The sequence below is a fragment of the Homo sapiens genome, chromosome 8 (assembly GCF_000001405.40).
Source record: "Homo sapiens chromosome 8, GRCh38.p14 Primary Assembly".
NCBI classification, from domain to species: domain Eukaryota; kingdom Metazoa; phylum Chordata; class Mammalia; order Primates; family Hominidae; genus Homo; species Homo sapiens.
The window spans coordinates 5,873,717-5,890,676 of NC_000008.11; the positions used below are offsets into that span (position 1 = coordinate 5,873,717).

The following is a 16,960-nucleotide window of genomic DNA, read 5'->3' on the forward strand; positions in this document are numbered from 1 at the left end:
AGCTCTAACAGGAAGATTCATAGCCCTAAACAACTATATCAAAAAGTCTGAAAGAGCACAAACACACAATCTAAGGCCAGACTTCAAGGAACTAGAGAAACAAGAACAAACCAAACCCAGAAGAAAGGATATAACCAAGATCAGAGTGCAACTAAATAAAAAAAAAAAAAACAAACAAAGAATAACACAAGAGATAAATGAAACAAAACATTGGTTCTTTCAAAAGATAAATAAAATTTATAGACCATTAGGAAGATTAACCAAGAAGAGAGGAAAGAAAATCCAAATAAGCTCAATAATAAATGAAATGGGAGATGTAAAGAAATCAGTAGCTCTTCTACACACCAACAGCGACCAAGCTGAGAATCAAATCAATAACTCAACCCCTTTAAAATAGCTGTGAAACAAACAAAAATTTGTAATATACCTAACCAAGGAGGTGAAAGACCTTTAAAAGGAAAACTACAAAACACTACAGGGGTCCGTCCCACAGACCCTGACCCAACAACAGATGAATAACGTACACTGACACAGATATTCTGCCTGTCAGTCTGGCTAAGGGTCTGGGCCCCTCACAGACGCTAAGGAAAGTGTGTAAAGAGTAGCAGCCACCGCCCTGATCAGCCAGTGAAGCTCGCATTTATTCATTACAGATTAAAGGTCTTCAGTAAACACTACTAGAGGGTAATTGACCTAGCTGCCAATTACCCATCCCCACTCCTGGTAGAAAGCAATTACGCAACCACAGTTGATCAAAGCTTGGTCTTAAGACCACATGAGTAAACAAAGTATTTAGATAAACTACTGTACATTCCTTTGTACCTACTTGGAGCTATTTAGTCAAGGTAAGGATTAGACTGCTTTCACCCATAACCCTATCCTGAGACTTTTGTAAAACCTTCCAGCCTTCCAAGAAGATTTCTCTCTATATCCTATAACTCCATCTTAAAATTTTTCCCACCAGCCTGACTGAACTCCCACATCTCCCCCTTTTCTGTTTTATTGCCTTGGGTTCTGTTGACTGAAGCATACAGATGTGTGTAGCAACAGGTCTGTGGGGCAAGGCGGTCATTGCTCTTATTGCGACTTTGCATCCTAGAAATAGCAAATAACATAAGACAATCTTGAGTATAATTAGCAACATTCTTTTCCAGTCAAAGAGTGACCCCCAGAAGCAGAGGTATAACCAGGAAAGATGATCTCACACACCCTTCCGTATGGCTGTTTGTTGGGTGTATAGATCTGTAGTGGGAAGGGATTCTAAAATTTTAGTTTTAAGTTGCTTTACATCTGCTGTTGACTTGTCATGAAAGGTTCCCCAGAGGTGTTGTTTCACCTCATCCCAATTATGTATTGATTGATTCCATGGAAGAGAAGTGACACAGATATGTTTATGCTCCCAGTCGTAGTTTAATTGCTATCAGAATGCCAGGGCATCTTGTGACTCCCCCACATATTCCAAGCCAGCCTCGAGGGCTTGCAGACATGTAAGTATCTTTTGATCTATACCCTGCTGTAAGAGAAGTTCGTTAGACACATTTCGGGCTAAATTATCTACAATAGCAGCTGTTTGTACTGATTCAGTAATAGATGGTATAGCCACACTAGCACTTGCTGGGATGACTATGGCTAAGATTATAAAGGCTATAAGTGCATCTATGAATCTTTTGGGTCTGACCTGGGTTAGGGCATGTTCTAAGAAGGCAAAGGCAGAGAAACCTCGCCAATTGCATGTCAAATTGACTGGTAATAATGCCTCAGATTGTCTCAATACCATGACACTAGCAATAATTAGACATATTGTCATGAGGGAAACCAAGCCTCTCCCTGCACCTGGGTCAGCAACACAGTTTTGAGGTGTAATGGAAATAACAGTTCCCATAAGGAAAACATATGGATGGGGAGTGCAAATTAGGGACTGAACAGTGTGATTATGAATAAACGTTATCGTATAGTTGTGACTGGAATCATGATATGTCCCATGCTGAGATGCTGAGATGCCCCAGGTACCATGAAGTGTCTTGGGCTGGCATGGACTTTACTTGGGGTCTGGGGTATCTCATCCCCTCATCAGCCCAAATCATAGGGGAATATGATGAGGCTATGAAACTGGGATTGATGACATTATGGATGAGGACATCAGTAAGTTGGCCCTGCAAACGGCCACAGGGGCTCCAGTCTAAGATGTTATAATTGCCTAACTGGAGGCTATGGGCTTGTTCCCCATGACAGACCTCCCAGCTAAAGTGCAATCCATTACTTTCCCAGCTTTGTTCTTTAGCACAGGAAGCAATGTTTGGAAAAGCAGCACTGATTGCATTACCTGGTTTGAGGCTACCTGCAACTAAGACTTTTAAGGCTTTTTTTTTTTTTTTTTTTTTTTTTTTGCCATAATACAGCCTTAATTGTGTTTGGGCAGATACACAATAAGGATTCGAACCTTTATAACTTACACAGCGAGAGGATAGTGGAGTGACAGGTAGTGTTATCTGGCACCTTAGTCTAATGTGTGCCATGATTGAGGGACCCCACTGGGGGCAAATCTATCCCTCCTAGCCAAGGAGTCACATTATTAAAGGCTGAGCAGGGGGTGTCTGCCCAGGTGACAGGGTAAAAGAAAAATATGAGCCCAATAGAGTGTAGCAGGTACAGGTTGCAGACAAAGTGAAAACACAGAAAGGATCAATATCCTAGGTGAGTTGCAATGTACAACAGAAACCATAGCAAGGAGTAAATTATCTGGAGTGAACAGTGTCTGTGTCTGGAGCAGGATTCCTTCAGCATCCCCAGGTAACATCCAGAGCTTATGTCGACCGTGGAAGCCACATCGTCCGGGGCTGTGGGTCCTGCAGGGTCAGTTCCTAGCCATGCCATGGTATGGGTTGATGCATTGGGCTAGAATCCAAAGAGGACCTGAGGGGGTGTGGACACAAGCATACCCTCTTCCCCGTGTTAATTCATTTGGACCATACCATACATTACTGTTTACATCTTTCCATAAAACTGCAGGTTTTATGTCTTGAGAAGTTTTAACAAAGTGCTTTTCTATAGGTGATTGAAATTTGTCATCTAAATTTAGAAAATTAAGGGTAAATAAGGCTTGTCCCAATAGTGTTGCAGGGTCTTTACCCATACTCCTCCTTTTTTGAGCATTTTTTTAAGGGTGGAGTAGACACGTTTTACTATGCCTTGTCCTTGGGGGTTATATGGCATACCAATGGAATGTTAGATGTTTCATGTATGACAGAATTGTTGAAATTGTGAGCTGGCATAAGCTGGACCATTACCAGTTTTAACTTTTGCATTTATGGGATGGCCCACAAAAATTAGAAGATGTTTAATGACATATCGAGTGGACTCTCCAGGAAGGGCGTGTGCACTAATTAGATGAATGTTGGTATCAATTGATACATATACATATCTTAGTTTTCTAAATTCAGGGATGTGTGTAACATCTGTTTGCCATAATTGTTTAGGTTCACCTGTTGAAGGAAGGGATGTGCCTGTGAGCTGGCAATCTGGGCATTGCAGGATAATTTGTTTAGCTAGTCTTTGAGTAAGTTGAAATTGTTCAGTAAGTTTCTCTAGTTTCGGTGAAGAATTGATGTGATTCAGTGGCTTGGTCAAGCAGTGATGTCATAACTTGGAGGTCTGCTTGATTATTGCCATAAGCCAAAGGGCCAGGCAGTGAGCTGGGGGCTGAAGTGTGCGTAATAAAAATAGGATGTGCATGTTGATCTAGCAGTTGCTGAAGTCAGAGAAAAAGAGCACACAGGGCAGGCTCCAGAGTGGACTTAATTCGGGTTGTCTCAAGGTTCTGCAATAAATAAACAGAGTAAGCAGAGTCACTCACAATATTGATGGGCTGACTGGAACATTTCCAATGCCAATATCAGGGCCCCAATCTCCGCTCTCCGAGTGCTAGTAAACCCAGATCAAGTGATTGAATTACCTGGTCTCCACCAGACTGCCACTTTTCCATGTTTACCTGAACCATCAGTAAACAGTGTTAAAGCATTAGATATGGGGAAGTGAGCTATTTTTGTAGGCAAGATTACAGGAGTACAAGATAAGAAATGAAGGAGTTTATCAGCAGGAAGGACATGCTCTATTTGTCCGATGTGATCAGAGAGTGCTATTTGCAAATCTATAGATACTGGCAATACTGCTTTGAATTGCTTTTTACTTAAAGGAATCCTAATATTAGAATATAACCTAGCAACAGAGTGCATCGTTTGTGACCTGAATGGATGACTTTCCTAAGGAACTGGATATAGGGAGACAGTGTTTTAGTTCCGGTATGTGAGCAAAAAAACCCATTCTAGTAAGCGTAGCCCTGAGGTGATCTGTCCTATTAACACTGAAAGGGAGTGTTTGGTGGCAAAAATAAACAGATGACTTGAGTAGCCTGGATCTATGCTATCTTGTTGCCTTAGAGAGATAGCTTGTTCTATTTCCTCGATTTCCCTTTTTGCTGCTGGGGTTAAATGTTTGGGAGAATCTAGGGTTTTATTGCCCTTTAAGATAGAAAACAGATTTTGCAGCTTAGTAGAATTTGTAATTTCTCTCCCTTTAAAGGTTACTGCTTTACTTAAATTGGATTTGGAGAGAGCTAACAGCTGTGGCCATTATCAGAAATAGGTCTTTCAAATTTTTAAAGTTTACTTAAATCTTAGCAGAGAATTATAATCTGGAATGTTCTTGTATACAAAGAACACATGAAATTTTGCCATGGGTTGCCTGCGGAGATGGAGAGCTGAGCAGGCAGGTCCCGGGGCAGCAGCTGTGTTGCACTTGCTTAAGCGCTGCTGCTTTTTGTCTGCGCCGCTTTTCACCTGTGCCACTCCCTCACCCTTCCTCCAGAGGGCTGCTGCTGGCCAGGTGGACCTTCCTGCGCATGCCTCCTGCATCTCCCCAGAAGGCTAGCTCCAGTGCACTGGGCCTGGCTTCCCATCCCCACTGCCACTTCGCAGGTAGAACTCACCAGTTCTAGGTTTGTGAGCTTTCCCACCGCCGAGCATTCCTTTTTGCCTACTGGTCACTTGGCCGCAAGGCTCCTGCCTCTAATGGTTTTTTTTTTTTTTTTTTTAATCTTTTTATAAGAGTTAAAATACTGGGTCCATATGCCCAGTTGCCTTGTTGATCTTGCATTACCTAGCAAGCTAAGAGCTCCCCTTTTAATGCTGCTTTCTTAAGACAGGGTCTTATAGCTGGAGCATATCTTTTTTCCTATTTATTGGAGAAAGGGGTTCAGGCAAAAACTCCGTTTCCTCTTTGTTATTTTGACCCGGTGATAGTAGGGCTGAGGGACTTGGGTGTAGTAAAGTAGGTGACAGTTCTTCCTCCTTCCCCTTTTTAGGTTCTTCTGTGTATAATGGAGCCAGGGCCACTCTAAATAAGGCCCATAGGGTTAGGGCTGTTATTGGGACCCGTTGCCCTTGTGGATAATGTTGTTTAAGATTTCTCCCCACTTGTTCACAGAGCTTTATGTTTAACATACCTTCTTTCAGGACCCATGGATTATGGTTTACAACAGTTCGCATTAGATCCCTTATATGAGCCTGCAAAACTGAGGCTCCACGAGCCTTAGGCAGCTGTTTCAATACTTTTATATACTGTTTCTGTTGAGCTAATAGCTGTTGTCCCATGATGAAACTTTAGCCTAAACACTCCCCTCCAAAACTTGGAAACCCCAAGTGGGCAACAATGACTCACTGACCACACAGTCCTTTTCACCTGCATTTTCAAAGGGTCCATCATGCTCCCTTTGCAGCATGCCTCACATGGGGCACCAGCTGCGGGGTCTGTCCTGCAGAGCCGTGACCCAATGGCAGATGAATAACATACACTGACCCAGATATTCTGTCAGTCTGGCTAGGGATCTGGGCCCCTCACAGACACTAAAGAAGGTGCTATAAAGAGTAGCACCCATGGCCCTGATCAGCCAGCAAAGCTTGCATTTATTCAGTACAGGTTAAATGACAAAGATCTTGAGTAAACACCACTGGAGGGTAACTGACCTGGTTTCCGACCCCCTGAGTAGAGAGCAATTGTGCACTCACTGTTGATCAACGGTTGGTCTTAGGACCACATGAGTAAACCAGCTATTTAGATAAACTACTGTACATTCCATTGTACCCACTTTAAGCTATTTATTCAAGGTAAGGATTAGACTGCTTTCACCCATAACCCTATCCTGAGATTTTGCAGAACCTTCTGACCTTCCAAGAAGATTTCTGTCTATATCTCATAACTCCATCTTAAAATTTTTCCCACCAGCCTGACTGAACTTCCACAAAACACTGCTGTAGGAAATGATAGACGACACAAATGAAAACATATCCCATGTTCATGGATGGGTAGAATCAATATTGTAAAAATGACCATACTGCCAAAAACATTCTACAAATTCAACCCAATTCCCATCAAAATACAAGCATCATTCTTCACAGAATTAGAAAAAAAAAAACAATTATAAAATTCACATGGGACCAAAAAGAGCACACAGAGCCAAAGTGTTAGTAAGCAAAAAGAAAATATCTGGAGGAAATCACATTACCTGATTTCAAACTATACTATAAGGCTATAGTCACCAAAACAGCATGGTACTGGTATAAAAATAGGTACATAGACGAATGGAACAGAATAGAGAACCCAGAAATAAGCCCAAATACTTACAGCCAACTGATCTTCAACAAAGCAAACAAAAACAAGGTGGGAAAAGGACTCACTTTTCAACAAATGGTGCTGGGATAACAGGCTAGCCACATGTAGGAGAGTGAAACTGGATCCTTATCTCTCACCTTATACAAAAATGAACTCAAGATGGATTAAGGACTAAAATCTAAGACCTGAAACTACAAAAATTCTAGAAGATAACACTGGAAAAACCCTTAAGTCATTGGCTTAGGCAAAGATTTCATGACCAAGTACCCAAAAGCAAGTGCAATAAAATGAAGATTAGTAGCTGGGATTTAAAGAGCTTTTGCATGGCAAAAGGACCAATCAGAGTAAACAGGCAACCCACAGAATGGGAGAAAATGTTCACAATGTGTACATCTGACAAAGGACAAATATCCAGAATCTACAACAAACTCAAATCAGCAAGGAAAAAATAAATCACATCTAAAAGTGGGCTAAGGACATGAATAGACACTTCTCAAAAGAAGATATACATATGGCCAACAAACATGAAAAAATGCTGAACACCACTAATGAACAGGGAAATGCAAATTAAAACCACAGTGCTATAACTACCTTACTCCTGCAAGAATGGCCCAAATCAAAAAAAAGTAGATGTTGGCATGGATGCAGTGAATACGAAACACTTCCACACTGCTGGTGGGAATGTTAACTAGTACAACCACTATGGACAGACTCCTTAAAGAACGAAAACTAGAACTACCATTTGATCCAGCAATCCCACTACTGGGTATCTACCCAGAGGAAAAGAAGTCATTATACGAAAAAGATACTTACACTCGCATATTTATAGCAGCATGATTTGCAATTGCAAAAATGTGGAACCAACCCAAATGTCCATCAGTCAACAAATGGATAAAGAAACTGTGCTATATATATATATATGATGGAGTACCACTCAGCCATAAAAAGGAATTGATTATTGGCATTCACAGTGACCTAGATGAGATCAGAAACTATTATTCTAAGTGAAGTAACTCAGAAATGGGAACACAGATGTTGTATGTTCTCACTCATAAGTGGGAGCTAAGCTCTGAAGATGCAAATGCATAAGGAAGAAACAGTGGACTTTGGGTACTCAGAGGGAAAAGGTACGAAGGATGTGAGGGATAAAAGACTATAAATAGGGTGCAGCATATCCTATTAATAGGGTGATGTGTACATCGCATTCTCACAAATCACCATTAAAGAACTTACTAATATAACCAAACACTACCTGTTCCCCAGTAACCTGCAGAAATAAAAAAAGAATTAAAATTGTCTATTCAAATTCTCCACCCATGTTTCAATTGGGTTACTTGCCTTTTTATTGAGTTGCAAGTATTCTTTACATGTTCTAGATACAGTCCCTGTTAGTTATATGCAATAAATTGTAAATGACTCCTCATATCCTGTAGGTTGTTTTTTTCTTCTTTGATATGTCTTTTGAAGCACAAAAGTTTTTATGTTTCTTTTGTCACTGGAGTTTTGGTTTCATCTAAGAATTTACAGGATTTAAGTCAAGTGTGGCTCTTGTGAAATCACTTAATTAATGCACATTAACTTTTAAAAGTTAATTTATAGTCTACATAGACTATCTGATCAGGTTCCATATTTCTCTATGAGATAATTATCAGATTACCAAGGATTACATTAAGAAATCCTTAATATTAAGTATGGACAATTGCTAGGATGGGACAGATGCATTTTCCAGCATAACTGTCTTTAAAGCACACTTTACATGTCAATTTTATATTTGCTTATATGTTATTTAGGCAACACTACTCAATATACAATATTAGCAAATTGCTTATTTTGTTTTCCATATGGAACACACAGTAGTTCTTTGAATATATATTTTCCACTCTTTAGAAGAACTTCATCTTCTTCCTATGTTTGTTAAATATTAAAAGGAAATAAAAAATACTTGCACGTTAAATTCCGTTTTAAAGGTATTTGTACCTGAATTTCCTTTTCCTGGAACATAGCCATGACCATCTTATTATCAAATGATCTTTATCTTCATCTCCAATGATATTATTACTGAGCTTTGCCTGAAAACACTACCCAATTGTGCTGCAATAAACAAAGTGACCAGAGCTGAAATGAAAAGCTAAAAACAAAAGATAGTAAGAATAAGAAATGTAGATAATACAGAAAACATGCAGGTAAAGACCACGGCTTTGGGGACTTTAAAAGGAAAGAAAAGCAAAGCTGAGAGATAATGGAGAAACAGTCCTCAGATTTAGGGAGATCTTGGAAGCAGTAACAGCATCAGAGAAAGAAGAAGGTGCTGATGAGAGAGGGCTCAACCCAGACAGAAGAGAGCAAGCCACATGGGGGGAAAAGATGGGGGGAGGAGAATCAGACTGGTGTCATTTTCTGGTCATTACTGGGAAAAAATGTTTCACAGAAAAACATACATCTACACTCACTGCATTTTTTTCAGCATCATGGTGCAATTCTCTCTTGCTTAAAGACTGAAAATATATGCAACACACCTAAGAATGCATCCCGTGAGAAGATGCAATTTATGATCTGGGGAAGAAACAAAAATCAGCTGGAAAAAAATCTTTGTGCTTTGTGAGAGGGTTTGAAGAATACAGCGAAAGGAGGATTGTGTTTCTATTCAAAATTGGGTCTGTTTACTCAATTGCATGTCAGCCATATGACTACAGCAATTACCTCATTCTCTGAACCTTAGTTTCCTCAGCCATAAAATCATGAAGAATTAATTTTTAATTTTTGTATAAGGTGTAAGGAAGGGATCCAGTTTCAGCTTTCTACATATGGCTAGCCAGTTTTCCCAGCACCATTTATTAAATAGGGAATCCTTTCCCCAGTGCTTGTTTTGTCAGGTTTGTCAAAGATCAGATGTAGATATGCAGCATTATTTCTGAGGGCTCTGTTCTGTTCCATTGGTCTATATCTCTGTTTTGGTCCCAGTACCATGCTGTTTTGGTTACTGTAGCCTTGTAGTATGGTTTGAAGTCAGGTAACGTGATGCCTCCAGCTTTGTTCTTTTGGCTTAGGATTAACTTGGCAATGCGGGCTCTTTTTTGGTTCCACATGAACTTTAAAGTAGTTGTTTCCAATTCTGTGAAGAAAGTCATTGGTAGCTTGATGGGGATGGCATTGAATCTATAAATTACCTTGGGCAGTATGGCCATTTTCACGATATTGATTCTTCCTATCCATGAGCATGGAATGTTCTTCCATTTGTTTGTGTCCTCTTTAATTTCGTTGAGCAGTGGTTTGTAGTTCTCCTTGAAGGGGTCCTTCGCATCCCTTTTAAGTTGTATTCCTAGGTATTTTATTCTCTTTGAAGCAATTGTGAACGGGAGTTCATGCATGATTTGGCTCTCTGTTTGTCTATTATTGGCCATCAGATAAATGCAAATCAAAACCACAATGACATACCATTTCACACCAGTTAGAATGGTGATCATTAAAAAGTCAGGAAACAACAGGTGCTGGAGAGGATGTGGAGAAATAGGAACACTTTTACACTGTTGGTGGGACTGTAAACTAGTTCAACCATTGTGGAAGGCAGTGTGGCGATTCCTCAGGGATCTAGAACTAGAAACACCATTTGACCCAGCCATCCCATTACTGGGTATATACCCAAAGGACTATAAATCATGCTGCTATAAAGACACATGCACACGTATGTTTATTGCGGCACTATTCACAACAGCAAAGACTTGGAACCAACCCAAATGTCCATCATTGATACACTGGATTAAGAAAATGTGGTACATATACACCATGGAATACTATGCAGCCATAAAAAAGGATGAGTTAATGTCCTTTGTAGGGACATGGATGAAACTGGAAACCATCATTCTCAGTAAACTATCGCAAGGACAAAAAACCAAACACCACATGTTCTCACTCAGAGGTTGGAATTGAACAATGAGAACACTTCGACATGGGAAGGGGAACATCACACACCGGAGCCTGTTGTGGGGTGGGGTGAGTGGGGATAGCATAGCATTAGGAAATATATACCTAATGTAAATGACGAGTTGATGGGTGCAGCACACCAACATGGCACACGTATGCCTATGTAACAAACCTGCACGTTGTGCACACGTACCCTAGGACTGAAATAAAAATAAACATGAAGAAAATACCTTTCTCACAAGACTCGTTAGAGACTGAACTAGATGATAATGCCACAATCACCAGCAGTGTGGGTGATAGTTTATTAAACATCTGTTTACTGTGAATCACCAACCCAGTGTCCAAGAACCTCAATCCTCCATCCTCAAATGCACCAGATACCGTTTGCATAAAAACCTTAAAGGTTTCTAGGATTATAGTTAGAATTCTTATTCAAATTATACCTACAATTACTCTAAGATAGCAACGCTAAAAATAGGACAACATATTGAGAGTTGAAAGAAAGGTTCCTTGGGTACATAAAGTGTACCTTACCAGAAAGATAATTTAGACACCAGGCTGTGTCAATACTTGATATTGACTATAAGTATTCATTAGCACTATTTGCTTATATGAATATGCATTTGTAGAGTGACTGTCTACACAAACTAGAATAATTGAGAAATCCTAACGAAACATTAAATAGCTCTCTGTATACCCAGAATACATTTAAAGGTGCTATTCTATGCTCTAATTAAATATTTTATATTTTTATATTAATGTGTGATATTTACCCTTGTAATAGGGTATAATTTCTATTCTGAATTGAAGAGCCAGAATTCATGATCATTGATGAAAAATGTGTTTATTATACCGAACTTTTCAACTATTTTTCACATGGTGCTTTTTCCACCAGGGTCTTCTGCACACTTTTGTTCATGAATTGTCTAATTTAAATGGCTATTTAGAAAAGCAAAGGTTGCGAAAACAAGTAAAGAATTAGTCTCCTCAATCTAAGACACCTCCTAAGACAAAATGGCTAAATGTAACATGGTCTGCTGGATTAGGTACTGAAGCTCAAAAAGGTACACTGTAGAAATGTTGGTGAAACCCAGATAAAACCTATAGAGTTAGTCATGAGTATTTTAGTATATGCTAATTTCTTCTCTCTCCCTCTCTCTTTCACGAGTACGGTGTCTAGGTCTCAGCTAATGCAGTCTCTGCCTCCTGGGCTCAAGTGATACTCTGACCTCAGCCTACTGAGTAGCTGGGACTACAGGCACATGCCACCAAGCTTTGTCTAATTCTAATGTCATAGTATGCATAAAATCAGTATGATTACATAAGATGTTCACACTAAGAGAAGCTGGGCGGGGGTTATTTTCTTAAATTAACATATTTACATAATAAGATAACTGAGTGTTAAATATAGTGTTGCACAATACTTAGGATACAGAGTCACTTAATATAATTTCACTGTTTTCAGGGAAAAAAGGCTTTTCAGCTACATTAGAGTATGGCCATTTTTTTTCCACATTAGTTGCTAGCATTGATTTCTCAGGCATTCTTTACTCTTGATGAAACTCAGTATCTTAGGCATTCTCATACATATAATTTAAGAAACGTTCACTCATGATTTGGCTCTCTGTTATTCGTGTATAGGAATGCTTGTGATTTTTGCACATTGATTTTGTATCCTCAGACTTTGCTCCAATTCACAATTGCTACAAAAGAGAAGAAAATATCTAGGAATACAACTTCCAAGGGATGTGAAACTACAAATCACTGCTCAAGGAAATGAGAGGACACAAACAAACGGAAAACATTCCATGATCATGGATAGGAAGAATCAATATGGTAAAAATGGCCATACTGCCCAAAGTAATTTATAGATTCAAGTCTATCCCCATCAAGCTACCATTGACTTTCTTCACGGAATTGGAAAAAACTACTTTAAATTTCACATGGAACGAAAAAGCCCGCATAGCCAAGATAATCTTAAGCAAAAATAACAAAGCTGCAGGCATCACGCTACCTGATTTCAAACTATACTACAAGCCTACAGTAACCAAAACAGCATGGTACTGGTACCAAAAGAGATATATATACCAAAGGAACAGAACAGAGGTCTCAGAAGTAACACCACACATCTGCAACCATTTGACCTTTGACAAACCTGACAAAAACAAGTGATGAGGAAAGGAGTTCCTATTTAATAAATGGTGTTGGGAAAAGTGGCCAGCCATATGCAGAAAGCTGAAATTAGATCCCTTTCTTATACCTTATATAAAAATTAACTCAAGATGGATTAAAGACTTAAATGTAAGACTTAAAACCATAAAAACCCTAGAGGAAAACCTAAGCAATACCATTCAGGACCTAAGCATGGGCAAAGACTTCATGACTAAAACACCAAAAGCAATGGCAACAGAAGCTAAAATTGACAACTGGGATATAATTAAACTAAAGAGCTTCTGCACAGCAAAAGAAACTATCATCAGAGTAAACAGGCATCCTAAACAATGGGAGAAAACTTTTACAATCTATCCATCTGACAAAGGGCTAATATCCAGAATCTACAAAGAACGTAAGCAAATTTACAAGAAAAAAACAACCCCATCAGAAAGTGGGTGAAGGATATGTACAGACACTTCTCAAAAGAAGACATATATGCAGCCAACCAACTTATGAAAAAAAGCTCATAATCACTGGTCATTAGAGACATACAAATTAAAACCACATTGAGAAACCTTCTCACGCCAGTTAAAATGTCGATCATTAAAATGTCAGGAAACAGCACGTGCTGGAGAGGATGTGGAGAAATAGGACACTTTTTCACTGTTGGTGGGGGTATAAATTAATTCACCCATTGTGGAAGACAGTGTGGTGATTCCTCAAGGATCTAGAACTGGAAATACCATTTGCCCCAGCAATCCCATTACTGGATATATACCCAAAGGATTGTAAATCATTCTACTATCAAGACACATGCACACGTATGTTTACTGGAGTACTGTTCACAATAGCAAAGACTTGGAACCAACCCAAATGTCCATCAATGATAGACTGAGGAAAATGTGGCACATATACACCATGGAATACTATGCAGCCATAAAAAGGATGAGTTCATGTCCTTTGCAGGACATGGATGAAGCTGGAAACCATCATTCCCAGCAAACTAACACAAGAACAGAGTACCAAACACTGCATGTTCTCACTCATAAGTGGGAGTTGAACAATGAGAACACATGGACACAGTGGGCGCATCACACACTGTGGGCTGTTGAGGGGTGGGGGTCTGGGGGAGGGATAGCATTAGGAGAAATACCTAATGTAGATGACAGGTTGATGGGTGCAGCAAACCACCATGGCACATGTATACCTATGTAACAAACCTGCACGTTTTGCACACGTACCCCAGAATTTAAAGCGTAATTTAAAAAAATGTTCTCACAGACATTAGGCATTTTATTTTTATTTAAACTATCATTCAAAATATTAAGTATTAAATGTAATTATTTTATGAATTGATATTTAATTCACCAGATCAGTGTCTTTTTTTTTTTTTTTTTTTTTTTTTTTTGAGACGAGGCACAGTCTCGCTCTGTTGTCCAGGCTGGAGTGCAGTGGCGCAATCTAGGCTCACTGCAAGCTCCACCTCCTGGGTTTACACCATTCTCCTGCCTCAGTCTCCCGAGTAGCTGGGACTACAGGCGCCCGCCACCATGCCGGGTATTTTTAGTAGAGACAGGGTTTCACTGTGTTAGCCAGCAAGGTCTCCATCCCCTGACCTCATGATCCACCACAGCCGGCCTTCACTTTTCTTACATTGCCAGAAAGCAAATGAATTCATTAATGATTAATAAAATATTAACATAAACCTAACTTTTTATGAACCTTCAACTTATTTTTCTAACATATTCGGGAAAATATGTTTTGGTGAAAATAACAGAAACAAACAAACAATAAACCCTCCTGCCAATGAAATCCAAAATGAAACAAAACAAAAACCCTACTGTATTTTTTACAACAAGTCATAGCAATACCATCATTTCGATGTGTCTACCATTACCTCAGGTAATGACTAACATATTTGCTGTCTCTATTAATGGGCATTTTGAAGATATTTCATATATATGAGCCATATAATATGTGGTCTTTTATGCCTGGCTTCTTTCACATATGATAATTTTTGTTCTTCCTCCGTGTTGTTACATATTGCAGTACTTTGGTATTCCACTGTATGAATGCACCATATTCTGTTTCTCTATTTTTCACTTGATGGACATTTGAGTTTTCATTGTTTTGGCTACTATAAATAGTGTTGGTATGAATCTTTGTGTACAAGGGTTTGTATGGATATAATAGACTTTTTCTTGAATACCACCTAGTGACTAATTTTTCTTAATTAATTTGTAAAGACCCTAAAATAGATTACATGCTTTTTATAGTTCTTTAACATTTTTCAACTCTTAGCTTCCATTCCCTAATAAAAAATGTGCCCATCAACTTCAAAACATTTGGCATTGCAAATCAAGATACAATTGTTCTTAAGAATTCAACTCACATATCAATTTTTTTAAATCTTATGTCTCCCAGTTGATTTCTAATGAGAAGAAATTTTATCACTTAAAAAAAATACTTCTGAAAAACATTTTCAGAAAGATCACAGTAAGTCATTTCATGTTTAAAGTTTTTAGAAAGTATAATTATCTGAATGTAGTTACAAATAGAGGTGTTTTTTTTTTTGTCCAAGGAAAATTGCCACTTTCTATTTGTGAACTACGACAAATTTGCATTCTTTTAGAATAAATAGAGATAGGATGTGTATTTGTCTACTGAGTTGAGGGTTGCAAGTTGAAAATTTAATAAAATTATTTCTCTACTTTGCTTACAGGGTAAATATTTTCATGCATATTACCTATATTTGCAAAGAAGTGGCACTTTGTAAAACCTTAGTCATATGTTCTTTTTGCTTTAAAAGTCATGTCTGCCAGGCATTGATGATAGTAGTGCTAATAATTTATGTAAAAAAAAAAACATCTTGATGTGTAAAAACTATAAGAAGAATCCTTTCCTGGTAAGTATTTAGCAAAGAACATTGATTTTTCTCATTATCTATTGCCTTATCTTTCCATTTGTCTATTTATGTGCCATTATGAAAAATAATCATATCTTAATTCTTCACATATTCAGGAAGGTATAATTATCAGGAAGAAGTTGACACCCAATGGTCCTGCTCTGTAAAGTTTTTATGCTGTTTGCAGACTTCCTGTTCTTCAACCTTTTTTCACAAAAAGCAGAAAGGGGACTTATTTTTAGTAAATAATAATTTACTAAATTTTTTTACTAAATGTTTTGATAATGTCCAAGTCAGCCTGGGCTTCTATTACACCTCTCACCGTTTTGGAAGCTGGAGGTCCAAGGTCCAGTTGGTGGCAGATTTGGTGTCTGGTGAGGGCCCATGTTCATAGATGCCCATCCTCTCCCTGCATCATCACAGGGAAGGGTCAAGGGATCTTTTGGGGCTCTCTTTTGTAAGAACATTTCACTATTAGAGCCCTACTACTATGATCTAATTACCTCCCAAAGGACCCACCTTCTAATACGATCACATTGGGCGTAAGGTTTCAACATATAAAAGGGGAGAGAGAGAAACATTTAGTCTACAGCTACATATACATTTTTTTAAATCTCAGTTAAGAACATTTAAATTAAGAGCTCAAGAACATACATACGTAAGAAGGGAAAAAAAGTATTTGAGTACATTTCTGCCTAACTCCACAGGCCATGGTTAGGTAGTGGTTTGTAGTGAATATTTAATATTTTGGCATTTTTAAGTTAAAATTATTTTTTATATCAAGAAAAAAAATGAAATTTCATATAATTCAGAAAAAAATAACTTTAGAGTAGATTTAAGCTAATTACTTATATTATCTGGTATTGAAGTCAGATGAGTTCACAACAATCATTAGCCTAGACAACAAAAAATATTGTTATTTTTTAACATCTAATTTTATTAAATATCTACTTTGTGTTAGGTTCTGGTAAATATAATAGAAATGAATTTCTACTGTTTATGTGTTTTAAAGAAAATAAATACATTTTCTTCTCATGTATGGGCTGCTTTTGATTCAAGTAAGAGGAAAATCAGTGAGGATTTCTTAAAAGCCATAGATATTTTAAAGTTATATATTTTTCTTTCCACAACTTGTATCTCTCTCTTTAATGGGAGAGAAATTACAGTGTGTTTTAGTGGTTTAAGGCATATCTCAAAAGCTAGACACACCTGGGAAAAAAAAATTTTGCCAACCATTATTATTGGTGACCTCTGGCAAGCTGCTTAATAAAATCCTCAATTTCTCTCTCTATAAAAATGGAGAGGCCGGGCGCG

General features: G+C 38.3%; 1 long non-coding RNA gene across 5 annotated transcripts in view; it reads right to left on the bottom strand.

The window, feature by feature from the left end:
- The window catches only part of LOC105377795 (uncharacterized), a 145,951-nt gene that overhangs the window by 15,441 nt on the left and 113,550 nt on the right, over positions 1-16,960 (bottom strand). For 3 of the 5 annotated variants that reach the window (XR_001745767.1, XR_001745765.1, XR_001745766.1), the window contains one exon: positions 1,226-3,817. The exons of 1 other annotated variant lie outside the window; for it this stretch is intronic. This is a non-coding gene — a long non-coding RNA (uncharacterized LOC105377795). Of the gene's footprint in view, positions 1-1,225; positions 3,818-16,960 lie in introns of those variants that run through there. One more of the 5 variants, XR_941374.2, reaches the window with a different exon arrangement.